Source organism: Homo sapiens, chromosome 2, assembly GCF_000001405.40.
Source record: "Homo sapiens chromosome 2, GRCh38.p14 Primary Assembly".
Lineage (NCBI taxonomy): Eukaryota > Metazoa > Chordata > Mammalia > Primates > Hominidae > Homo > Homo sapiens.
In genome coordinates this window covers 190,269,784-190,296,657 of record NC_000002.12, presented here as the reverse complement: position 1 = coordinate 190,296,657, position 26,874 = coordinate 190,269,784, and the positions used below count along the sequence as shown (strand labels likewise).

General features: G+C 38.7%; 1 protein-coding gene across 6 annotated transcripts in view, besides 2 other annotated features; it reads left to right on the top strand.

Annotated features, from left to right (window-relative positions):
* HIBCH (3-hydroxyisobutyryl-CoA hydrolase) overlaps nt 1-26,874 on the top strand; it is a 130,092-nt gene that overhangs the window by 23,169 nt on the left and 80,049 nt on the right. For 5 of the 6 annotated variants that reach the window (XR_922903.3, XM_047443905.1, NM_198047.3 and 2 more), the window contains exons 4-6: nt 2,028-2,112; nt 6,173-6,253; nt 9,020-9,072. Coding sequence is in view for 4 of the 6 variants with exons in the window: in XM_047443905.1 (XP_047299861.1) it covers nt 2,028-2,112; nt 6,173-6,253; nt 9,020-9,072 (219 nt within the window). In the remaining 2 variants the exon portion in view is untranslated. Of the gene's footprint in view, nt 1-2,027; nt 2,113-6,172; nt 6,254-9,019; nt 9,073-15,589; nt 15,728-26,874 lie in introns of those variants that run through there. The other variant, XM_011510954.2, reaches the window with a different exon arrangement.
* Nucleotides 15,710-16,681: an enhancer, noted in NCBI's record as "H3K27ac hESC enhancer chr2:191144703-191145674 (GRCh37/hg19 assembly coordinates)". NCBI's record gives its function as "activates a minimal SCP1, AML or CMV promoter by ChIP-STARR-seq in primed H9 embryonic stem cells {active_cell/tissue: H9 hESC(primed)}" and the evidence as "EXISTENCE:reporter gene assay evidence [ECO:0000049][PMID:30033119]".
* Nucleotides 18,741-19,035: an enhancer, noted in NCBI's record as "tiled region #4599; HepG2 Activating non-DNase unmatched - State 14:Gen5', and K562 Activating DNase matched - State 5:Enh". NCBI's record gives its function as "activates a minimal TATA promoter and a strong SV40 promoter by Sharpr-MPRA in HepG2 and K562 cells {active_cell/tissue: HepG2 | K562}" and the evidence as "EXISTENCE:reporter gene assay evidence [ECO:0000049][PMID:27701403]".

Genomic DNA, 26,874 nt, shown 5'->3' with positions numbered 1-26,874 from the left:
CAGTTATTCTTGAGCATCCCTGGTGATAGGGAGCTTACTGCCTCCTGAGACAGACTCTGACTTTTATATAGCACTGATTTGTTTGCAAGTTTCTTTTTGTGTTCTGTCACTCTGTATTTCTCTGACCTTTAAACCAATGATACTGGTTCTGCCTCTGAGAGGATGAGTGTACAAATCGAATCTGCTTCCACCTGACGGCCTTTTCATTTGAAGACAGCTGCTTTTTTTTTTTTTTGAGACGGAGGAGTCTCACTCTGTCGCCCAGGCTGGAGTGCAGTGGCACCATCTCGGCTCACTGCAAGCTCCACCTCCCGGGTTCATGCCATTCTCCTGCTTCAGCCTCCTGAGTAGCTGGGACTACAGGTGCCCGCCACCACACCCGGCTAATTTTTTGTATTTTTAGTAGAGACGGGGTTTCACCGTGTTAGCCAGGATGGTCTTGATCTCCTGACTTTGTGATCTATCTGCCTCGGCCTCCCAAAGTGCTGGGATTACAGGCGTGAGCCACCGCACCCGGCCAGACAGCTGCTTTTAAACTGCCTGCTTTTTCTCAGAGAAGGCCGTAAACTTTCCTAAGTGAGCAGCATGGAATAGTAGAAAAACAGGACTTAAAGTCAGACTGTCTGGTTTGAAACGTGGATTTCTATTTATTAACAGTGTAGGCTGGGAAAGTTAATCTCTCCATACCTCAAATCTCCTCAGTTCTGAAATGGGGATGATGATATGTAAAGATTAAGTGAATAGTATATATAAGTACCTAATACAGTCTGCCATGTAGATGTTTAACAAATACTAGTTTTCCCCTGGCTACCAATTCCTTAATTCTTCTTTTGATGAGTCTGTCTTCCATTCTTATGTTTCTGTTTGAGATACCATTATAATATGTCCCAAAATGTGATACATAGAAATAAGCCAAATGTTGCAAATCAAAGTTGGACCAGAGTGGAAGAAATTAGAAATGTTCATGTTAGAATAACATCTCTATTAATGTAATTAATGTAGTCCGGTATTGCATGAACCTTTTGGACAATCACGTCTTTCCAGCTACATCTTCCTTGTGCGTTACATATTTATTCTCTAGTACAGGTTGAACATCCTTAATTCAAAATGCTATAAAATTCAAAAACTCTTTAAGCATCAACATGATGCCACAAGTGGAAAATTCCACACCTGGCCTCATGATTGCTCGCAGTCAAAATACAAGTGCACAACACACTGTTTATTCAGGGTCCCTATGGGAAAAATTAATTACTTTCAGGCTATGTGTATAAGGTGGATATGAAACATAAAGGAATTCCCAATCCCCAGGATATCTCATATTGTATATGCAAATATTCTAAAATCTAAAAAAGTCTGAAACACTTTTGGTCCCAAGCATTTCAGATAAGGGATACTCAACCTGTATAGATTGATAGAACCCCTGTTAAGTTTTCTGTCTGTGGGTAACTAATTTTTCATTTCGTCCATTGTTCTGGACTTTCACATTTTCATCGGCTCTTGATTCTTTCATCCTACTTATTTATTAGCTGTCTTTACCAATCCCAAAGGACTTGGATTTTTTATATTATAAGTGGTTTCACTATGTTACTTACGTATTAAGAGTAAGAGAGCCCTGTATCAGCACAGTAGAAAGGTTATTGCTATATTTATCAGCAGTCTTTGGGTTGATTTGTTCTCCAAATTTATACGTTTATGTAACATATTATTATTATGCCCTTATTTGTTCATCTTGGTATCAAAGTTATGGCAAAGATTTCAGGTGCCATCTTGAAATTTGGATCACACAGTGTACTCATCTAGCAACATTTTTGAAATAGCCTCTACTTTATCTGGGAAAAGCATATGAAGTTCATTTGATAAGGAATGGGATGAGATTCGTTCTTCTGGATATCCCTTACAGAAGAATATGTACTGTCACAAACACATATGTATATGAATATATGATTGAATATATGTGCATATGCATATAACTTTAATGAGTTTGTGTTTATAATATGCTTATACCATCTTCTGTTACATTTGAATAGAAGTGGGAACAAGATCCTGAAACTTTCCTGATCATTATAAAGGGAGCAGGAGGAAAGGCTTTCTGTGCCGGGGGTGATATCAGAGGTAAAGACTTTTCCCTTTCACCTGAGTGCTCTTTCCCCCTACTAGAACTGATCAAGTATTGTCAAATTTTTGTAATAATTTATAATTTGCTTTACTTTTTAGAACTTTTTATTATAAAGTTAATACATTCTTAGGAAAAAGAAAAATTTAAAGACTTACTTTCTGCAGTTAGTATTAGCAAATGAGAATAGCAGATTTTTTTTTCTCACTACACAAATACCCATTTGAAATTTAAATATGTTGTCTCTCTCCCTGAATCATCACAAACAAAATGTCCAGTTAGGGTATATGGGTCCACTTTATATTTTAGAAGAGCTGATATTAAGCAGTTCTGTTGGTCTTATAACCTGACTATCTGGCCATGTTGACTTGCCATTCTTCAAATATGACATGCTCTCACATATTTCCATAACTTTTCCTATGCTTCCCACTATTCAAGATCCCAAAGCAACCATCTTCTATGTACTTATTTATAGCATTTATCCTGTTGCTATATATATATATATATATATATATATATATACACACAAAATATATATTACAAAATATATATTGTAAGTATATTTTACGTGTTTAAACATGCTGAGATAAAAAGAGAAACTCTCTTTATTTTTCATAATTGTTCAGGTCAGTCTGTCTATACACATTTAAATGTTAAAGACAAAAGAGAAGAAATGTCTGTTCTCAGCATCAGTGTCATGTATTTATTATAATCACTATAATTGTCCATATTATATGTACAGTATATTGAAAACTTTTTACATTTTGTATCTTGTTTCTTGTGGATTTGGTAGGGTTCAGGGATGGTTTTTTTCTTTGTGTTTTAATTTTATATGTTTGTTTGTTTGTTGTATTAAGACAACAGTCTTTGGGCTTGTTCACCAAACTTACGTAAACCATTACCTTAGGAACAGGAAAAAAGCTGGATTCAGGACATAATTTCAAATACTTATTAATGAATTTTAAAATTGCAGTTTAATGAAAACTTTGATTACTTAAACTGATCTGTTAACTGAATTGTTTTTGAATCTGTTGTTTTGCCTACAACATGCGTTTTTTTATTATTTTATTTATTTATTTATTTTTTTTTTTGAGACGGAGTTTCGCTCTTGTTGCGCAGGCTGGAGTGCAGTCACGTGATCTCTGCTCGCTGCAACCTCCACCTCCCAGGTTCAAACAATTCTCCTGCCTCAGCTTCCCGAGTAGCTGAGATTACAGGTGCCTGCCAACATGCCCTGCTAATTTTTTGTATTTTTAGTAGAGACAGGGTTTCACCATGTTGGCCAGGCTGGTCTTGAACTCCTGATCTCAGGCGATCCGCCTGCCTCGGCCTCCCAACAACATGCATATTTTTAAAATACTGTTTTTCAGCCTTGAATTAGCCTTTCGTCTGGCCTGTGATCGTCAGTTTACAGGTGGGCAGAGCTTTATGTATTGAGTTTATTAGCTTTTTCTGACTGAGCTATTTCTGCATATAGGCCTAATTTTATATTGATGTTTGGAAATAACAGCTACAAGTTGTAGAATTATTGTAGTTTACACATATAAAGCAGTGGATTCAAGTCCAGGAAATGTAATTTCTTGAAAGATTATAGTCCAAGACAATAAGTGGACACTCAGAAAATTTTCAAAAAATGATTGTGAAGGACATTTAATTTTAATTTAGATGGAACTAATTGATTAGAATAAAAATTAGATCAGAAAAAGATTTGAAGGAAATTTGAGAAGGTTTTTGAGGTAAAAGAGCTTCATTCCAAAGGCGATAAAACTTACATTCCTTTCCTTTTAGAATTGGTAAGCAGTGATAAGAGCTGAATAAAAGATGATAAACAAAGATAGTCATTTTTTGTTTGTTTGTTTGTTTGTTTAGGTATAAGTGAAACCTCAGAATGATAAAAGTAGGTGTCAGATCTTTCTTTTAAAAACCAGTAAAAGGACTGGGTGCAGAGGCTAACGCCTGTAATCTCAGCACTTTGGGAGGCCGAGGTGGGAGGATTGCCTGAGCTCAAGAGTTCGAGACCAGCCTGGGCAATGTGGTGAAACCCCGTCTCTACTAAAATACAAAAAAGAAAAATTAGCTGGGCATGGCGGCATGCGCCTATAGTCCCAGCTACTTGGGAGGCTGAGGCAGGAGAATTGCTTGAACCTGGGAGGTGGAGGTTGCAGTGAGCTGAGATCATGCCACCGCACTCCAGCCTGGTGACAAGGCAAGACTCCGTTTCAAAAACAAACACCCCAAAAAACCAGGAAAAGAAGTCGACATATGGAACATTTTGAAGGAAGAGATATCAGAATTCTAGAGTTAGGAGGCCCGAGCCGGCAGATCACCTGAGGTTGGGAGTTCGAGACCGGCCTGGCCAATATAGTGAAACCCCTCTCTACTAAAAATACAAAAATTAGCCAGGCATGGTGGCACATGCCTGTAATCCCAACTACTTGGGAGGCTGAGGCAGGAGAATCACTTCAACCTGGGAGGTGGAGGTTGCAGTGAGCCAAGATTGTGCCACTGTACTCCAGCCTGGGCAACAAAGCGAGATTCTGTCTCAAAACAAACAAAAAACAAACAAGAGAATTCTAGAGTTAGTGTAAGAATTGGTAGACAACATTTTGTATGTAATACTTTCCCATAAAAGAGGAAACATATCTATGAAATGTTTAGTTTGTGTTTTAATAGATAAATCTCATAGGACTTAAAGACAAGAAAGGCATATGAGTTGCAGTATATAGAAGAGGAAACTTTGATAGCAGTCTTGAGATTGACTGGAGGAGGAATATGGTAGGAGATGTGAACTCTGGGTAATAGAAGATTGCAACAGAAGTGAAACCATTTGATAGTGTTCACTATTCAGTAGATATTTACTGAGCATTTGTTTTTTAAGCCAGGCAGTGGTATGCTGTAGCAATGTCTTTGAGAATTTACATTTCTATCGATGTTAATAAATAAGAATGTCAGTATATTATTTACCTGTCTAGCCTCACCTTTTCCCTTTGCCCTTTAGTCTTTTAAAGCTGTTTGATTCTTGATTTTACTCTTCTTTCTTGACTTTGAGGCTTTGTAGGGTACTGCTTCCCCTAGTCAGAATTTTTCTTTCTGTCATTTTCTAGGAAATTCCTATTTACCTTTTCCAACTTGGCTTAGGGTTACCTCTTCTAGGAAGCCTTCTTTTAATTAATTACACATCTCCTGCTCCCATTCTGACAGCACCCCAATCCTTACAGGACAAAGAATATGTTTTAGTATCAGTCTAAACTCCAGGACAGCCATCTTGTGTTGCTGTCTTTATTATCTGCAACACCTAAAACATTACTTGGTATGTAGTAGGTGCTCAATAAATGTTTTATGGGGGAAATGAATGTGGCAGAAATATTTAAGGACATGGGATACGTTGTAGCACTATACACACACGTATAATACATTTTGTATTAAGACATATTACCAAAGGAAATGTATGTCTAGCAAATGTTAATTTAAGTGCTAGAGAAAATAATCAAAAGAAAATGTAGCTTGTTGCAATATATTATTATTTTTTTTAAGGAGACAGGGTGTCACTCTTCTCTCCAGGCTAGAGTACAGTGGTGTGATGATGGCTCACTGTAGCCTCAATATCCTGGGCTCAAATGATCCTCCCGGCTCAGCCTCCTGAGCAGCTGGAACTACAGGCATGTGGCACTGCAGCCAGCTAATTAAACATTTTTTGTTGAGACAGAGTTTCACCAGGCTGGTCTCAAACTCCTGGCCTCAAGGAATCCTCCCACCTGGTTTCTCAAAGTGCTGCGATTACAGGTTTGAGCCACCATGCCCAGCCTATAATTTCTAATCTAACATTTTGTAAGAAGCATGGAAAACAAGAATAGGAATTTTTGCCTTGAAGCTTTGACATTGGACTATGGATCTGTGACTATAATATAATGTCTGTGGCAGGGGCAACTTCAAAACTTTTAACAAGTCATTTTAGAGTACTCCCTTCCCCCAGTATTTAATTTTCATAATACTTTTGATCTAGTTGACAATGTTGACTATTAAATCTTTTTTTTTTTATTTGTAATCTTTCCTTCCTAGTGATCTCGGAAGCTGAAAAGGCAAAACAGAAGATAGCTCCAGTTTTCTTCAGAGAAGAATATATGCTGAATAATGCTGTTGGTATGTGTATTCTGCTCAGAGCTTTGGAAATGGAATAAAGAAATGAGGTGGACAGTATGTACTTTGTTAAAAATGCAATCAATAGGCATCCTTACTTAAACTTTTAATACCATGTGCCAGGCATAAGTAAAGTTGATTAAACTATTTTAAGTGCTTATTTCAGAACAGTTACCCTTTAATATTAGTAGGCTATACTTAACTGCTATTTGTTATAAAATCAATATGAGGCCAGGCATGGTGGCTCACGCCTGTAATCCCAGCAATTTGGGAGGCTGAGGTGGGTGGATCACCTGAGTTCAGGAGTTTGAGACCAGCCTGGCCAACGTGCTGAAACCCCGTCTCTACTAAAAATACAAAAATCAGCTGGGTGCGGTGGCAAGTGCCTGTAATCCCAGCTACTCGGGAGGCTGAGGCAGGAGAATCAGCTTGAACCTGGGAGGTGGAGGTTGCAGTGATTCGAGATTGCACCACTGCACTCCAGCCTGGGCAACAAAGCGAGACTCCGTCTCAAAAATAAATCAATATGAAAATATGGATTTCTCATCATGTGGTAGCTTTCTTGGGGGAAAAAACTTGGGTTCCAGTTTTCTCTATGAAATGAAGTATAGTATCATTTCCTAATTCTTAGGAATAAAAATTTCTTTATATTCAAGGTTCTAGGTTTCATTGGAGGTGAAGCAGTACTTTTATCTAGCATGCGAAGTTAAGATACAGGAAATAACATAATAAGTACTTGTGTACCCTCCAGCCCAGAATTAACAGACGTCAATATTTTGTTTTTGCTTGATGATTTAAAATTTCTCCAAAAGAAATATAATACTGCAAGTTTGGAAGTTACATTTCAGCCCATTTTTTTGCTTTCCTCAGTGCCATTACTTTCCCCAGAAGCAACCATTTATCCCTCCTCAAAAACAACCATTGTCATTAATTTTTAGTGTATTCTCCTAGACCATATTTGACATTTTTACTAAATATTTATGAACTAAAAGATTTTAAGTTAGAATTTGATTGAATACATGATATTAACGTATTTTGACATATAGTTGGAAAAATAAATTCAGTTTTTGTCATGTGCCTTTTAGACAAATAAACATTTATATATTGGCATAAAAACATGAATTAATATCTAGTAGATTAAACACATGGGGATATATATGTTTTTCTAAAAATATGAATTGATGAAAATAATTACTAAGTGATGAAAAAAGCTGTATACTCATTTAACATTAAAGTATTTAAAATAGTAAAACATAAGTTTATTTTTATTTTATTATTTATTATTTATTTATCTTTTAAGAGAGAGTCTTGCCCTGTCACCCAGGCTGGAGTGCAGTGGTGCGATCTTGGCTCACTGCAGCCTCTGTCTCCCAGGTTCAAGTGATTCTCCTGCCTCAGCCACCTGAGTAGCTGGGATTACAGGCATGCACCACCACACCCTGCTAATTTTTGTATTTTAAGTAGAGACAGGTTTCACCCTGTTGGCCAGGCTGCTCTCGAACTCCTGACCCTAGGTGATCCATCTGCCCCGGCCTCCCAAAGTACTGGGATTACAGACATGAGCCACGCACCTGGTGTGGTGTAAGTTTAAAGACAAAATAGAAATGCAGAGCATTGTATCATATTTTATACAGCAAAGTAGACAAATAGAGGCCGCTGCTTTTTAAGCTTTCCAATTCCTTTTGTTTTTTAGCTTTTATTTTAAGTTTGAACTAAAAGATTTTTACTTTGTGTTTAGCAATTTACATAAATACTATCTTACTGTGTAACCATTCCATAAATTGTTTTTAACAACATGGAATGTAACTCTTCTGTGGTATCCAATATTATGATTATATCCCACATTAATTATCTGTTCTACATTAATGGATATTTTAGCTTCCAGTAGTTACTAACATAGATAGTTGTACTCTATCTAGTATGTGGTCCCTTATTTCCCATGTGCAAAAGTTTCTCCAGAAATAATATGTAGAATGGATAGATCATAGTGTTTATGCATCATTACTTTGTTTCCAAATTCTTTAAGATGCTTTTTCTACATGTCTTTTTTCTTGGCTGCTGTTGGACTTTGGATCTTCCATATGAATTTTAGAATTGTTTTATCTAGTTTCACAAAAGTTTCTACTGAGATTATGATTAGACTTAGAATGAATTATGGGTTAATTTGGAGGGAATTGACATCTTTGATATTGAATGTTCCCAACCATAATGTGACATAGCTCTTCCTTTTTTTAAAAAAAAAAAAAAAAAAGATAGGGTCTTGGTCTGTTGCCCAGGCTGGAGTGCAGTGGCATGATCACAGCTCACTGCAGCCTCAACCTCCTGTGCTTAAGTGATCAAGTGTTCCTCCCACCTCAGCTTTCTGAGCAGCTGGGAGCACAGGTGCCTGCCACCACACCTGGCTATACTTTTTTTAAGAGAGGGAGTTTTGCTGTATTGCTCAGGCTGGTCTCATACTGCTGACCTCAAGCAATCCTCCCACCTTGGCCTCCCAAAGAGGTTAGATTACAGGTGTCAGCCACCACACTGGGCCCTGGCTTTTGTTTAAAATCGAAGGTTAAGTTGTTAAATGATAATGAATAGATAGGATTGTGTTGGATTGACATTTAAAAATATGTATTTTATAAGCCATACATTTAGTCGTCTTTGGTGTTTCTTGCTAAAATTTCCTAGGGAAAATCTTGAGTATATATAATGTGGGTTTTTTTTTAAGAAAAAGGGAATGTATTTTAAACACTGTAACTAAAATTACAGCTCTGTTTCTTTCAGGTTCTTGCCAGAAACCTTATGTTGCACTTATTCATGGAATTACAATGGGTGGGGTAAGTAGACTTTTTACTCTGATCATTGTATGAGTGAGTTGTATTAAAAATAAGTTAATAATTATTAAACAGAAGTGAGCTGATGAATGTAATATAATAGAACTCATTGAAACATAATTGTGTGGATTTTGGATCCTGACAGATTTGAGATATAATATTTGCTTATAGCACTTTTAGACTATCCCAGCCCAAAAGAATATTTTATGTTCTTAGTTATGTTATATGGCCGGGCATGGTGCCTCACGTCTGTAATCCCAGCAGTTTGGGAGGCCAAGGTGGGCAGATCACTTGAGGTCAGGAGTTTGAGACCAGCCTGGCCTACATGGCGAAACCCTGCCTCTATTAAAAATACAAAAATTAGCTGAGCATGGTGGCACACACCTGTGATCTCAGCTACTCAGGAGGTTGAGGCATGATAATCGCTTGAACCCAGGAGGTGGAGCTTGTAGTGAGCTGAGATTGCACCACTGCACTCCAGCCTGGGTGACAAAGTGAGACTGTCTCAAAAACAAAAAAATATATGTATACACACACACACACACACACACACACACACACGTTATATGCTATTTTAACTTTTTGAATTAGCAAGTTTTTTTAAGCAATGGAAACTGATTGTGTTTTTATCTTTTAATATATAGAGCCTTTTTTCTACTTAAAAATAAACTGATTCTTTTCAGAAACTTCAGAAGAGAAACTAGAATGTTGAGTTTTTTTTTTTTTAAATTCAGTATTAGAGATTTGGTTGCCTAAATTGTACCTGTTACTCAAAATTTCACCTTAGTGGAAGTGTTTGGATTCTTTTTGAAGTTCTCTGTAACTGCATTTCTGTCAGTTGACAAATATTCTGCCTCTGTGCTATTACAGAGAAGTCTAAAATGTAACTGGCATTGATTAACTTGACCTGGAGTTAGAGAAAACATGAAATAATTACAAAACAATTGGTAAATTGTATGGTACTGACAAAGATTAGCCTTTGAAGAAGTGAGGGGTCAGAATTGGTCTTCATGGCAGGAAAGGGCTGCATGGAGAAGATGGTGAATTGAACTGAGCCTAGAAAGGTAGTGGAGGAGAGAAAAAGTAATGTCTTTTCCTCACCGATTGCAGGGGTCATGGCCAGTATCCATATAACAAAAGACAGATTGACAATAGAGAAGCATAACAAATTTGTTTAATCAAAGTTTTACATGACATGGGAGCCTTCAGAAAAGAAGACCCAAAGACCCACAGATCCAGGAAAAACTGTTTTTGTGTGTAAGTTCAGTGAACAATGGACAGTCATATAGAAGTATGATTGGACAAAAACGGTATTATTCAGTAGTAATAAATGGGGGAACTTAGGTAGGCTTGTTTGTTGAGATTCTTCTTGGCCTCTGTGTGTAACATTCCTTTCCTCCAGGTATAGGATGGGGCCCTTGTCACATGAGGGTTTAATGACTTTCAAGTCCGGGTGTCGTGGCTGATGCCTGTAATCCTAGCACTTTGGGAGGCTGAGGTGGGTAAATCGCTTGAGGCTAGGAGTTCGAGACCAGCTTGGGCAACATGGCGAAACCCCATCTCTACTAAAACTACAAAAATCAGTTGGGTGTGATGGTGTGCACCAGTAATCTCAGTGACTGGGGAGGCTGAGGCACGAGAATTGCTTGAACCCGGGAGGTTATAGTGAGCTGAGATCATGCCACTGCACTCCAGCCTGGGTGACAGAGTGAGACTCTGTCTCAAAAAACAAAACAAAACAAAAAGACATACTTTCAGAAGAGGTAGGTTAGAGAACTTCTTTACGGCCAGCTGTCCCACAGAAAGGCGGGGGGAGGTCACAGTGGCCTCCAAGTGGCCGTAGTTTGGGGTAGCATATCCTGAGCCGTGACAATAGGTAGGACATAGGTAGGTAGGGCCCAGGTAGGTAGAGCCTAGGTAGGTAGGTAGTATGAGGCCAAAAGGTGGAATTTTTGAAATTCCACCTGTTCAATGTTTTAAGGAACTTAACTATTTGGAATACAGGAAGTTCCCCCTTTGTTCTAGTAGAACCACCCTAAATAAGGACCGGGAATTGCTTAGATCTTGCACATCATTTTGGGAAGGGATTCTACTAGCAAGGGTGATCTGTACCTCTGCTTGGCAGAAACTGAGCGTGGGTTGGTTGTGCTTTAACCTGGGGAAAAGGAAAGCTCTCTGAAAAAAGTACTGCAGAGTAAGAGGAAGGGAAAGAATCTGAAGCATTGAAGGAAGAGCTGCCCTGTGAATGTGAAAGAAACCAGGAAAAAATGAAGACAAAAACAATGGGCATACCCAACAGCATGTAAAAATAAATGTGACCCCATTAAAACAGGAAAGAAATCCCATAAGGATAGAGCAAACTCAGATGAAAGGGCTACAAGTTGAAAAAGGGAAACAGGAAACAGGGAGGATGACTGGGAACTAATACACAGTAGCAAAGCTGACATTTTATTTTAATGGCAGTAGATTAGAAAGAGATGAATTTAATATTACAGATAGTGAAGTATCTGTGGAGAACAAACTTGAGAAACTCTCACAAAGCATTCAAAAAAATATATAAGTGATGAAAATGAATGTTTTGAGGTAATGACTATGAAAGAAAGTTACTGGGAACCCAACAAAGGAGTGATAAGTACTCCACTGAAAGTAAATCAGATACTTGGAACAGAAATGATGATCAGATATAATGAAATAAGACTTTAAGTAAAAACAAATACTCCCAAACTCAGATATGTATAATTAAAGGAAACACGAAATTTCAGATAAGTGAAAAGAGACCCATACCTAGATAAAAGCTCAGGTAAATTTTTTAAAATTATAAGCCTTAAGAAAAAAAAGCTAACTGTGAGTAGTCAGGCCAAGGAATCAAGGTAAATGGGGTGATTAGTGATATACGTTATATACAGATTTCTTCAGATTTCTCTGTTACACAATGTGACAGAAGTCAATGGGTTGAGAAGTTGTGAAGTAGTTAGGATCCAAGAGTTTTCTCCCCAACTAAGTCGTTATTTAGTATAAATATAAAATAAAAATATTATCAGAAATGGTAAATATATTGCTGACATATTACTGAGAATATTTCAGTAACTATTTGGTCTAGTTGACCAAGAGATCACTTAAAGTTATAACTCAAGACTCCTTCTGATATGAAAGGATTGGTAAGCTGCCCTTTGGTGCTATAAGTGGGCAGAACTTCCATTTTTTTTTTACAGAAGCCTGAGAATTATATTGCTCTAGCACATCATTTCTGAAGGCACTGGCCATGTTCTTCAGTTCTGGGGCTTGTATAGGTTGGTATAATGTTTGTATATATTCCTCATATGTAACAACCAAGAATATTTATTTCAAAAGAAAAGACTGCAGTGAAACAGATCAAGATAATGTTGTCTTGAATAAATGAAGTAAAGATGCTGCTGATTCTTCATACTGGTCTCTGTTTTCAGTATTTAAAGAACATAAATAACTTTCAAATAAAGATATACTTTATATCAGCCTTTCTTAACCAGAACTCCACCAGAGGATTAAGTCTTAGTGCCCTAAAATGTTCTTGGGTTTGCCTAGAGAATCAGTCTCGAGGCTGGGGCCTAGCAGTCTGTTTGAACAAGCCAAGCTCTCCAAGTAATTCTGAGTCATGTTAATTTGAGAACTAGGGCTCTAAGCCATCCCTTGAATGTAATAAATTAGCTCCTATTTCTGTCCTGTGCTTCTCGAATGGTACTAGTTATGTACCATCCTTGGGAGAATTGAGAATATAATCACATCATTTGCAGTGATCTGTGGTTCAGATGAGGAACCCCTGAGAAAGTTTGTTTTATACTATATTTTATCAGCTCCCTTAAAAATATTGTGTCTTTTCTTCCATCAGGTATGCCCAACCACATGCATCCTTAAAGACTGAAGTTCTTCCCTCTTTTTTAATAGCCATAAATATTATGGATTGAGCATCTCTTGTCTGAAATGCTTAGGACGAGGAGTGTTTTGGATTTTGGAATATTTACAATATGTTATAAATAAAGTTTCAGTGCCGCAAAAGAAATAGCACTCGAATGTAACATTTTGTTTTTAATTCTCAGCAAGGAAATGTACTACTATAGAAGGGTGTGCCCTTACAGATGGAGCAATGGTGAGCATACACCTGGACAAGGGAGGCAAAGGAGTTCTTATTCCTGATGCACATGGCCCGTGCTGCTGTGTCATTCCCCTATTGGCTAGGGTTAGACCGCACAGGCTAAACTAATTCTGATTGGCTACTTTAAAGAGAGTGATGGGGTGAGTGGTTTGGCAGAAAAAATGGTTATGGCAGAGCAGTAAATTGGAATGAGTCAGGGTGGAGCAGGTAATCGAAAAAGGTTGCTTTATGAGGAAGTTAAGTTTAAAAGTAGAAGGCAAAGAATTGAACATACTGACATTGACTCTTTGAAGAGAAATTTAGAACTCATATCTAACAAATCTTAAATCTAAAAATCTGAAATCGGAAATGTTCCAAAATCTGAAATATTTGGAGCACCAACATGATACTCAAAGGAAATGCTCATTGGAGCATTTCAGATTTCAGAGTTTTGGATTCAGGATGCTCAACTTACACTACAATTAGATGTGATTTCTTCTTTCATTGAGTCAGTGCTTTCAGTCTGTACTCTAAATTTGGTGTTTGTACTTTATTGTTACTTTATATCTCATCTTTCCAACTGTATTAGATGGTCTGGAAAGGGCAAGGATTATCCTACCTTTTTTTTTTTTTTTTTGGCCTTCTCGTAACAACTAGGAATATACAGTTATAGAGAAATTTTTAAACAATTATACCCTAAATAATAAACATCTTGTATAGCCGTTGAAAGAGTAAACAACAGGCTGGAAGTGAACAGTCTCTTTTTTTTTAGTAGTGGGGTTTTGTATTTATCTTGGTTTGGAAGGCCACACTTTTCATGTCTGATTTACAAACTTCTGTGATTTGAGTATGGGTTGTCCCCACCAAAACCCATGTTGAGGTTTGTTTCCCAGTGTGGTGGTGTTGGGAGGTGGTGCCTTTAAGAGGTGATTATGTTGTTAAGATGGATTAGTATCTTTCTTGCAAGACTGGGTTAGTTCTTATGGGAATGGTTAGTTTCTGCGAGAGCAGGTTGTTGTAAAGTGAGGTTGCTTCCTATGTTTTGGGCTTTTTACATGTGCCTGGTACCTCTTCTATTTCTCTGCCATGTTTTCATGTAACATAAGGCCCTCACTAGAAGCTGCCAGATGCAGCCTCTCAATCTTGAACTTTCTGGCTTGTAGAACCATCACCTAAATAAACCCATTTTTAAATTTTGTTTTATAAGTTACCTAGTCTGTGTATCCTGTTACAGTAGCACAAAATGGACTGAGACAGAAAATTGATACTGAGAAGTGTTGCTAATAACAAATACCTGAAATTGTGGAAGTGGCTTTGGAATTGGGTAATGGATAGACACTTGAAAGAATTTGGAGGAGCAGGATAGAAAAAAACCTGTATTGCTGTGAACGGAGCATTAAGGGTGATTCTGGTGAGGGCTCAGAAGAAGACAAGGCTGGGGAAAATGTGGAACTTCTTAGAGATTATTTAAGTGGTCATGGGCAGAATGCTAATAGAAATATGGACAGTAATGGCCATTTTGATGAGGACCCGGATGAAAATGAGGAACAAGATATTGGAGTAAAGAGCATCCTTGTAATAAAGTGACAAAGAACCTGGCTGGATGTGTCCATGTCTGAGGGCTTTATGGAATTCAGGAATTTAGAGCCATGAATTAGAATGCCTGGAAGAAGATCTATCTAATCCGCAAAGCATTCAGGCTGCTGCATGGCTACTTTTAATAGCTTACATAAAGCTGTGAGAGGGAAAAAAATGACTGAAGATGAAATTTATAATCAAAAGGGAAAGAAAGCAGAAAGATTTGGAAAACTCTCAGCCTGGCCATGTAAAGAGTGAAAAAACTTTTTGGGAGAGGAAACCAAGGTGTGGCGCAGCAATTTTTGCTAAAGAGAGTAATACTTAATGGAAGGGAATATCAAGACAATGGGAGAAAGACCCTCAAGGCATTTCCGAGACCTTTGAGCCTCCCTTTCTCATCACAGGCCCAGAGCTCTGGCACAAATGGTTTTGGGTGATGGACTTGGGCCTCCCCCTATAAGCTTACCGCCCGGGGCTGCTTGGGCCTCTGCTCCCAGAATTCCAGCACAGTGCTCCTCAGTTGTCCCCGCTATGGCTCAAGTGCCCCAGGTACAGCTTGACCTGCAGCTCCAGAAGATATAAGCCATAAGCCTTGGTGGCATCCATGTGGTGCTAATTCTGCAGGCTGTCAGAAAGCAGAGCTAGGAAGGCATGTGAGCCTCTCCCTAGATTTCAAAGGATATATTAGACAGTCTGGTGTCAGGCAGAGCTTTGTTGCAGGGGTGGAGCCACCACAGAGAGTCCATTCTGGAGAATGCCAAGTGGAATTGTGAGGTCAGAGCTAGAGCTGCCCTTGAGATTCTAGAACTGTTGACCCACTGGCAGCATGGCACCAGTTTGCAACTTCAACTGTAGAGAGCTGAAGTGTGGGCTTGTTAGTGGTGGATCCGTACAGGTCTGAAGCAACTTGATTCTTGCCTCCTTGAAGGAAAGAATTTGTCTAAGGGGCATAAGGCAGAGTGAGAGACCAAGGCAAGTTTTTGAGCAGGAGTGACAGTTTATTAAAAAGTTTTAGAACAGGAACAATAGGATGTAAAGTATTCTTGGAAGAGGGCCAAGCAAGCAACTTGAGAGATTCAAGTGTTCTGTTTGGCCCTTGACTTGGGGTTTTATACACTGGCGTGGTTCCGGGGTTTGAGTTTCTTCTCCCTTGATTTTTCCTTGGGGTGGGCTGTCCACATGTGCAGTGGCCTGCCAGCACTCGAGGGGCCATATGCTCAGTGTGTTTACTCAAGTTGTGCGCATGCTCATTTGAGGCATTTTCCCCCTTGCTAAGTTGAACATTTTTAGAGGAAGGTTATATACCAGTTAAACTCTGCAATTTTGCATCTAAATGCACATGCTTGGGCCCACTCGCCCAGCTCCTGAGATCTTAATGGGAAGCGGCTGATCACGAGCTTCAGGTGTTTTCTGTCTACTGGGAGACTGCCTTTCCCTGCTGCCAGCTGCGACCAGTTATTTTAGGGAGATAGTTTAACAACCACCTGACCATCACTTGATGGTCACCTGACATTCTGGGTGTGGGGGAGCTCTCTGCCCTGCTCATGTCTGCCTAGCTACCTACTCTTAACTGGTTGAGCCCAGAAAGCTCTAGGAGTAGGGTTGATACCTTGAGGGCCCACCTCTCCAACCCCATCCCAGTGTGCACAGGATTCAGACATGGAATGGAGATTACTCTCTAGCTTTAAGAGTTAATGTCTTCTTTCTCAGGGTTTTAAAGACTTAATTGAGGCCTGTTACTCCTTTCTTTTGGCCTATTTCTGCCTTTTAGAATGGGAATGTTAGAAATCCTTGTTCCCCGGTGCCGCAAAGAAATAGCACTTGAACATAAATTTAATTTTCTCAGCCAGGCCATTTTTACTTTCTGCAGAAAGAGTACACTTGCCGGCAGTTTTGCTACAAGAGTACAGCGAACAAAGGGGACAGGGTAATTTATAACCTGACGCGTTCACCCTACTGCTGTGTCCGGTTTCCATTGGCTGGAACGGGACCTCACATTCTGTATTTGTCCCAATTGGATAGCAACTTAGAACTTTCTAAAAGAGGCAAAGGCAGAGGAGAACAAAGGAAGGAGGAAGTAACTTGTGGAATGCTGAGAAAGGTAAAAACACCTCCAAATAAGGAAGAGGAACAGGCTATGACCTAATGCTTGCTTGGACCAGTATAAGCATGCCAGGGCAAATATTTAGGCTAAATGTGGGAGCTAAGAACACGAAGTACATTGATTTCTTTATTAAGGCTAGCAGATATCTAAGAATGTTAGCACAGGTCTTTGAATAAATTTTGCTTCTAAGAGAATTTACTATTTATTCCTAATTAGACAGGGAGGAAAGTCTCTTTGAAGAGGATCCTCTACTTTACTTTTTACAGGAATGTATACCCTATACCTGTCCTACCACTGTATCTTGGAAGTAGATAACTTGTTTTGATTACACAGGCTTCACAGATGGGACTCTGGACTTCGGAATTTTGAGTTGGTGCTGAAACAATACTTTGAGGATATGGAGCTGGAGTGAATGTATTTGTATGTGAGAAGGATATGAGTTTGGGAGGTCAGGGATGGAATGCTACGGTTTGAATATTTGTCCCCACCGAAACTCATGTTGAAACTTAATCCTGAATGTAACAGTATTAAGAAGTGAGGCCTTCAAGAGGTGATGGGGTCATGAGGGTAGAGTAGTTTGATCCATTCATGGATTAATAGGTTATCACAGGAAGAATGGTTTAATTACCATGGGAATGGGTCTGTTTTAAAAGCCAGTTTGGCATGCTCTTGCCCCTTCACCAGATCAGGGCTCTGCAGAGAGTCCCCACCAGCAAGAAGGCCCTCAACAGATATGGCCCTTCAACCTTGGCTTTCCCAATCTCCAGAAGAGCTGTAAGACATAGATTCCTTTTCTTTATAAATTGCCCAGTCTCAGATACTCAGTTACAGCAACAGAAAACTTAAGACACCAGCATTTCTTAATATAAGATGTTTTATGAACTCTAGCTTCTGAAAATGTAATCCTCTAGATCATTGGCGCTCAACCTTGTTGGCACTTTAGAATTATTTGGGAGTCTTTTTAAAATTCCAGTGCCTAGGCTTACCTTATCTCCCATAATCATTAAATTGGATAGTGGACAGTGGAGTGAGACCTAGGCTTTTTTTTTTTTTTTTTTTTGAGATGGAGTCTCACTCTTTTGCCCAGGCTGGAGTGCAGTGGTGCTATGAGACCTAGGCATTTTTAAAGCTCCCTGGTGTTACCAATGTGAAGGTAAAGTTAAAAACTGCTGCTCTACAGGTTCTTGTGTGTGGTTGTGTCTCCTGTGACTTTTTTCTAAATCTCCCAAAGACTGTTCTTCACATTTTAGTTTGTATCAGAGTAACCTGGAGGGCTTGTTAAAAAGCAGATTCTAGGCTGGGCACGGCGGCTCACGCCTGTAATCCTAGTACTTTGGGAGGCCTAGGCTGGCGGATCACTTAAGGCCAGGAGTTCAAGACCAGCCTGGCCAACGTGGCGAAATCCCCTCTCTACTAAAAATACAAAATTAGCTGGATGTGGTGGCGGGGGCCTGTAATCCCAGCTACTCCAGAGGCTGAGGCAGGAAAATTGCTTGAACCCGGGAGGTGGAGGTTGCAGTGAGCCAAGATTGTACCATTGCACTTCAGCCTGGGCGACAGAGCGAGACTCCATCTTAAAAAAAAAAAGCAGATTCTTTCCCTGCCCCATCTCTAGTTTAGTCTGGAATTTGGCCCAAGAATTTGCATTTCTAACAAGTTCTCAGGTAATGATGATTCTAGGGGGAGGGGAGTTCACTTTAGGAACAATTTTTGTAAGGTGTTCAGACTACAGTTTGTTATTCAGAAAGCCTTTATTTTCAGAATTTTTAGTAGAATTTTAGTATTACACATAATTGCTTAGTGTAGGCTTAGTATATATACATTTTTAATCTGTTAAAAGAAAATCTTCATACAAATTTAACACTTTATCTGAGCAAAGAACAATTCATGAATCTGGCAGCATGCAGAACCAGAAGAGGTTGAGAGAGCTCCACCTTGCAGCATGAGCAGTGAGCTTCCATAGGTTGAATGTGGAAGCAAATTAGAGAAATTACCTGATTGGCTACCGCAAGGCATTTGCCTTATTTGGGCATGGTGTGATGAGATATTTACTCTCTGTGGGTGTGGTCTGATCAGTTGGCTGCCTATGATTGGCTGAAACATGGCTGTTTGTTACAAAACTATACTCTTAAATTAGGTTTCAGTTTATTTTCTTACTAAGGTTGCAATTTATTATGAAGGAACTCAAAGTGCAGAGAGACAGTCTCAGTTCAATGGCTTCTGCTTATTTAACATACCCTAGTACAGAAGTGTGAGAATAACGTGGAGCTAACAGGGCTTAAAAGGCATAGGAATAGTACTTGCTTGATTCTGGTCAATAAATTTTTTCTTACAATAATGTAAAAGAATTTTGTTAAGAATTTGTACAGTCCAAAAGATGGCGCCACAGAGCTTGGTTCCCACGGCTTTCCTTTTGTTTTTGTTATAGAAGGTTTTATTTTTTCCAGTATAGAAAATGACAGTTTTATTTTCTCTTGTTACCCACCATGAAGAGTAGCACAGTATCTTTAATATTTTAGAAATTCAAACATTTACTCAGTATTTTGAAATACAGTAAAATAAAAATGAATGTTACTGAGTGGTTCTCCACATGGTAGATCAGAATTATGTAAAATTATTCCAGTGTTTCTGAAAGAGAAACAATTTTTTTATGAATAGATATTTAAATGACTAAATTTATTCTGTTTCTGGGGAAGACAAATTTTTTTATCTCTTTTGCCATTTATATAAAACATCTGGGGTTGCATTTTCTTAAGTTAATATGAGGGGACGTCAAAAAGTTTGTGGAAAAATGGAATTAATTAAGATAGAAATAAAAATAACTTTTTTTCTCAACATAAGCTCCGTCAAATTTAAGGTACTTCTTTTGTCAGCAGTGATACCAGTCATTTAGTCCATCCCTAAATAATTGAGGGTCCTGGGAATTTAACTATGCAAATGCAGTGTTTTTTATATTGGTAACTGAAGAAAAATGGGTGCCATCTACAGATTTTTAAAGACTGGTGTGTTAGTCTGTTTGGGTTCCTATAGAAGAATACCTGAGGCTGGGTATTTTATTTGGCTCACAGTTCTGCAGGGTGTGCAAGAACCATGGCACTAGCATCTGCTTCTGGTGAGGGCTTCAGGTAACTTCCAATTATAGCAGAAGGGGAAGGAGAGCTGGCATATCACATAGCGAGAGAGGGAGTGAGAAAGAGAGAAGGTGCTACATTCTTTTAAACAGCCAGCTTTTGTATGAACTGATAGAGCGAGAACTTATTCGTTACTGTGGGGATGTACCAAGCCATTCATGAGGGATCTGCCCCCATGACCACACCTTCCATTTGGCCCCAACTCTAATGTTGGAGAATAAATTTCAACATGAGATTTGGAGGGGACAGATATCCAATCTATATCAATTAGGAAACATAAAGGAGTAAGAAGGAGCCAAATCAGGTCTATAAGGTGGATGCCTAATAATTTCCCATTGAAACTCTCAAAATTGCCCTTGTTTGATGAGCGGAGTAAGTAGGGGCATTTACATAGTGTATGAGGAGTCTCTGATGAAACTTTGGGCCTTTTTCCGCTAAAGCTTTGGCTAACTTTTCATGATAGTTCTTTGGTGTTCCAGAAAGTCAACCAGCAACCTGCCTTGAGCGTCCCAAAGAATTGTTGCCAACCTTTGCTCTTGACCAGTCTGCTTGTGCTTTGACTGGACCACTTCTCTCTCTTGGTAGCCATTGTGGTTGTGCTTTATCTTCAGGATCATACTGGTAAAGCCATGTTTCATCTCCTGTTACAGTTCTTCAAAGAAATGCTTCAGGATCTTGATCTCACTTACTTAAAATTTCCATTGAAAGCTCTGTTCTTGTCTGCAGCAGATCTGGATGCAATGGTTTTGGCACTCATCGGATGGAAAGTTTGCTCAGCTTTAATTTTTCAGTCAGAATTGTGTAAACTGAACCAATTATAAAAGAATTGTGGCATTGGCTATTGTTCATGCCATTAACTCTCAATCATCTTCAATTAGGGCATGAACAAGATAAATTTTTTCCTCACAAATTGATGTGGATGGTCTGCCACTGTGGGCATCTTGAACATTGTCTCATGCCTTCTTTAAAAGAGTTATCTATTTGTAAACTGTTGATATCTTTGAGGCATTTTCCTCACAAACTTTTCACAACTCACCAGTGATTTTACTTTTCTTCTACACAAGCTTTACCATAAATTTGATATTTGTTCTTGCTTCAATTTTAGCGTAATTCATATTGCTCTGATAGGGGCCCTTTCAGACTGCTGTCCTATCCCTCTTAGGACCTCAAGCTAGATCCTGTTCTGGTATGTTATGACAAATTAGTAAGAGTTGATTTTCATACAAAAAAATTTGAAGTTCTTGCATAGTTTTTTCATAATAATGCATATTCCGTGAACTTTTTGAAGATTCCTTGAATATAACAATTACAGATTTGTTTAAATATAAAATTAAGTAGATATAGAACAGAGGACAATCCTTAAATTTTTGTTTCATACATGTAGTACCACTCCTGTTTCCCTCCCCAACTGAATTGGATTTAAAGAACATTTTAGGTTCTTCTCTCCTCCTCTCTCTCCCTCCTAGTCTTCCTTTTTTTCCACCACCTCTTGCATTTTCGAATAGAAATGAAGTTGGTTCCCCAACCTAACTCAAAATATGGCACAGTAAGGTATTGTTTTTGTGTTTCTCAAAATGCTCTTAAGATGCTACTAGTGAGAGGGTTTTTTGATTATAGGAGACCACAATATGCCACCCTAAATATGCCACTTTGGCATAATGATTATTTTGAGCAGATTATTTTGAGAACCAGCAGATACAGGATCATCTCTGAAAACAGCACAAGTTACCTTTTTGTAAGAGAAATGTGTACCTAGAAAGGAAATCTCTATTTGTAAGAGTGTCTCCCTTTCTGGGGAAGAGAAGGATGACCAAATTGCAAGAGACTCCTATCAACAGAGATAACAACATAAATCTGCAAAACAATCGTTTCTCTTATTTACCATGCTTTTTGTGGTAACCTTCCTTCACATCCTTTCGAGTTGAAGTTGCTATGTAAGCTGGAGTTTTAGGCTCCCTCTTGGAGAGTTTTTATTTCTCCCTGGATAATCTTCTGTGTATACATGAGGTATACATGTTAATAAACTGTTTTTCTCTTGTTGGTCTGTCTTGTTGGAGCAGTCCCAGCTAAGAACTCAGAAAGGTAAAGGGAAAATTCCCCCACCACACACAATGAATAATAGAAAATTAAGTTTTAAAGTGTATTTTAGAAAGAGCATGTTGTCATGACTAGAGAAGTGGGAATTGGAATGGAATAAAAATAATGAGCGTATACATTACCCAAATGACTTTATTGCAGTACAAACTACCCACATGAAAGTTGACTAGTGCTCTGTTAAATGGGAACTACTGAATCAGATTATGTTTATCCACTGATTAATGTCATTGAAGACATGTTCTTATTTTCATAAAAAGAATGAACAGTGCTCAAAGATTGAATTATGTTAGTATATTGCAAAGACTTGTTAGACATAATGGGTACCTTTTTTCAGTTTTAAAAGGTGTTCTGTTTCTTGCTATTAGTGACAGTTGAATAGAAGACATTTTAAGAAACCATTTTTTAATTAAATAATAAAGTGCCGGGTTTTTCATAACAACATTTATTTTACTTAGTATGGAACCTGAGAGGCCGGGCGCAGTGGCACATGCCTGTAATCCCAGCGCTTTGGGAGGCCAGCGTGGGAGAGTCACTTGAGACCAGAAGTTCAAGTCCAGCCTAGGCAATATAGCGAGACTCTGTGTCTCCAAAAAATTAACCAGGCATGGTGGTGCATGCCTGTAGTCCCAGCTACTTGGGAGGTTGAGGCGGGAGGATTGTTTGAGTCTAGGAATTCAAGGCTGCAGTGAGCCATGATTGTCTCACTGCATCTGAGACCCTGCCGCAGGAAAAAAAAGAGAACCTGAGAGTTTATGAAAGAAGAGATGAAATAATTTTATTAAGATTTTTGGAGAAACTTCTGAGTTCAGCTTCGTTTGGTATACTTCTTCCCACCCACCTATGTAATTTAAATCTCTTTTTTTTTTAAAAAAACTGGAAGATATGAAAGGAGCTTTCTTTAAGAATGAAATATCAGTAACACAGCAGGAGCTGAGAGAGGAAAAATAGAGGGAAATTTCCCTTGGATTTCTAAGTGTATAGGGTGTATGTTTATATACATTCGTTTTTATCTATATTGATTATTCAACTTTCTCCAAGTGTGGATGGATATCTTGTTTTGATAGAGAGCGGTAGATCTCCTCTCATCCCCAGATGAGATTCTTTTAGATTTCCTTCTGTCTTATTAGGGGAGAGTTAGGATTGCTTTTATTTATTTGTTTTTATTTTTATTTATTTTTGAGATGGAGTCTCGCTCTGTCACCCAGGCTGGAGTGCAGTGGTGTGATCTTGGCTCACTGCAACCTCCACCTCCTGGGTTCAAGCAGTTCTCCTGCCTCAGCCTCCCGAGTAGCTAGGATTACAGGCGCGTGCCACCACACCTGGCTAATTTTTGTATTTTTAATAGAGTTGAGGTTTCACCATGTTGGTCAGGCTGGTCTCGAACTCCTGACCTCAAGTGATCCACCTGCCTCAGCCTCCCAAAGTGCTGGGATTACTGGCATGAGCCACTGCGCCTGGCCGTAGGATTGCTTTGAGTTGCGTAGTTTCTTATAGTAAAATTTCAGGGTCATTTAGTTTCTTAATGAGCTTTTTTTTTCTTTTTAACAGGTAAGCATTGGGTTATATTGATTTTTCAAGATGTAATGGATTATCATCTAAGTGATGTTCCTTTGCTGCTTGGCAATATACCACAGATGGTCTGTTTAATTGTATTTTACTACTTGTCTGTCTTATTAGATAGAGCCCTTGTTTTTTTTAGCTTCCTATACCCCATTTCCATCTACCCTTTAGCCCAGGGATATCTAAGTTGGAGAGTACTTTCATTTTCTTACCAAGAACTTGACCTCACTACCTTCGGTCTCCCTGCCCCCCCATTAAGGTATTGCATTCTGGGAAATTTTTGACTTGCAGGAGTATAGATATTCTTGGCAACTTTGACAAACTTACAGATTCTGAGATCTACAGGGAGTTTTTTTTTTTCCCTTGGCCATTTCCTTTGGCCATATTGGTCAGGTTTTGGGTTCCTTTCATTTGTAATATGAAACCACCCTAGGTTCAAGGTCAAGTAGCAGGCACCTTTTGCCCTGTGCATTTCTCATCTGGCCTTCTGCCCTGACCATGTTGGTTTGGATGATTTTTGGTCTAGAGGTTTCTGTTTCTTATTGAGGCGTGAAAGTATTTCAGAGAAGAAAAGCGGAGGAGAGCTCTTTGCCCATAAAACGAGCTCATTCCCCTAAGGATATATGGATATGTGAGCTTCGAAACTAACTAGAGGCTCATTATGACTTTAGCCATCATTTGAGATTGTTCTCAACTATTTTACCCAAGCAGCAAAACTTATTGGATGTCTAGATGTGCCAGATACTGGTTGGGCTCTGGTGATAAAACAGTGAACAAAACAGACATGTTTTCCTTTCTCCTAGAGCTTACTGTCCAAACAGGCAAATATGGGGTAGTCTGGAAATACATTAAACAATACCAGCCTTAACTGTGTGTATGTGCGAATAGTGTAGTGATGGGGGTAGTGTAGGGAAAGCCTTTTGGAGGAAGTTATATTTAAGCTGAGGCTTAAGGAAGGAGGAATTAACCAGAGAAGAAAAGCTGAGAGTAGTAAAAGAATGCGATGTGGTTGGTGCAATTGTGTAAGGGTTCGATGCAGTGTTGAACGACAGTGTGTGGGTGAGAAGATAATAGCATATGTGAAAATGAGATAAGAGAGAATTCATATTTGAGCAAAGTTCAGTGTGCCTACATTTTATACTGTGAAGGAGATAGGGGTTAAATTCTGAGGCCATAGAGGTAAGCAAGAAGCCAGATCAGCTCTCTTATAGGACATGTTAAGTAGTTGATCTTCAGATCAATATGGAGAGCTAATTAAGTGCTTTTTAGCAGGGGCAATGACTAGAACAGATTTGCATTTTAGAAAGAACTCTGGTGGGAAGAATTGACTTTAGGAGGGTGGGATTGGAAGTATAGTGATTATTTAGGAAGCTATTGCAGGGAATCGGGTGAGAGATCATGGTGATTAAATATAAGGTAGAGGCCAGACACAGTGGCTCACACCTGTAATCCCAGCACTTTGGGAGGTGGAGGCAGTGGATCACCTCAGGTTGGGAGTCTCAGACCAGCCTGGCCAACATGGCGAAACCCCGTCTCTACTGAAAATAACAAAAATTAGCTGGGCCCAGTGGTGCGCACCTGTAATCCCAGCTACCTGGGAGGCTGATGCAGGAGAATCGCTTGAAACCCGGGAGGTAGAGGTTGCAGTGAGCTGAGATCACGCCACTGCACTGTAGCCTGGATGACAGAGCAAGACTCCCTCTCAAAAAAAAAAAAAAAAAAAAAAAAGTAGGGTAGAGATAATGGGTAGATAGATTTAAGAGGGAGATAGGGAGATTTTGGAGAAGACTTGATGGGTTTTGATGATGGATTGTATGTGATGGATAAAGTGGAGCAAGAATGACTTTCAGGTGTCTAGGCTGGGCCATGGAATAAATGGTGGCACTATTTACTAAGATTTGAGAAGAGTAGCTATGGGGTGGGCTGGGGAGAGTGAAGGGAGATGAATTTAATTTTGAGCTGGACCTCCTAGAATGGTAAATAATTAATAATAATATGTAAATAAGTTAAATATTTTCTCTCAATTATTTGTTGTTGAATATCATTTTTGTCTAAAAATAACATGAATTATACATACCCAATAGCAGGGTAAAAAAAATCTGTTTGGTGCTAATCTCTATGTGTTAGTCCATTAAAATACATTATTATATAATCAATATACATATTAAGATGCAATATGAGCCCGTTAATATGAGAAACATAGTAAAAATCTTTGTTTTTACTTTGCAGCCTGCTGTTCTGTTAATCTAATGTATGTGGTCCCAGAGATACATTAAGAAACTTATTTAATAGTCATAATAGTAACTTTTATGCCATAGTGAAAGCATGTGCGATGACAAATCTACTTGAATTTCTAACAAAAGAAATTGAAATGGTGCTATTTCAAAGCATCATTTATCCTGAGTGATAGCGATAGGCTATCACATACTCTCTAATACTGTGATGCAGTGTTTATTCTGGGCAGGAGCTTACTCATTCTCCCTGGTTAGATTTAAATCCATGACTTTTTCTGTAAACATCAGTCACATCACCCCATTGTGTATCTTTCTGAGTTTTTTGTCTTCTTTACTGTGGTTATCAACTGTTTACTTTGGAATATTTACTTTTTGAGCACCAAGTTGAATTGTTTACATGTGTCTGTGTTTATGCGTTGAGGGATTAATCTTGCCATTAGTATAAATCATGGGTGGTTAACTATGCCTTAAAATAACCTTAAATATCTTTTTTTTTAAAAAAAAAAAAGGTGTAATAACTAAATTTATTTTTACTAGTACATTTTTTTAAATTTTATTTTACTTTAAACTCTGGGATACATGTGCAGAACGTGCAGGTATACATGTGCCATGGTGATATGCTGCACCTGTCAACCCGTCATCTAGGTTTTAAGCCCTGCATGTATTAGGTATTTGTCCTAATGCTCTGCCTCCCCTTGCTCCTCACCTCCCGACAGGCCCCGGTGTGTGATGTTCCCCTCCCTGTGTCCATGTGTTCTCATTGTTCAGCTCCCACTTATGAGAACATACATTTGGTTTTCGGTACCTGTGTTAGTTTGCTGAGAATGATGGCTTCCAGCTTCATCCATGTCCCTGCAAAGGACATGAACTCATTGTTTTTTTTATGGCTGCATAGTATTCCATGGTGTGTATGTGCCACATTTTCTTTATTTAGTCTGTCATTGATGTGCATCTGGGTTGGTTCCAACTCTTTGCTATTGTGAACAGTGCTGC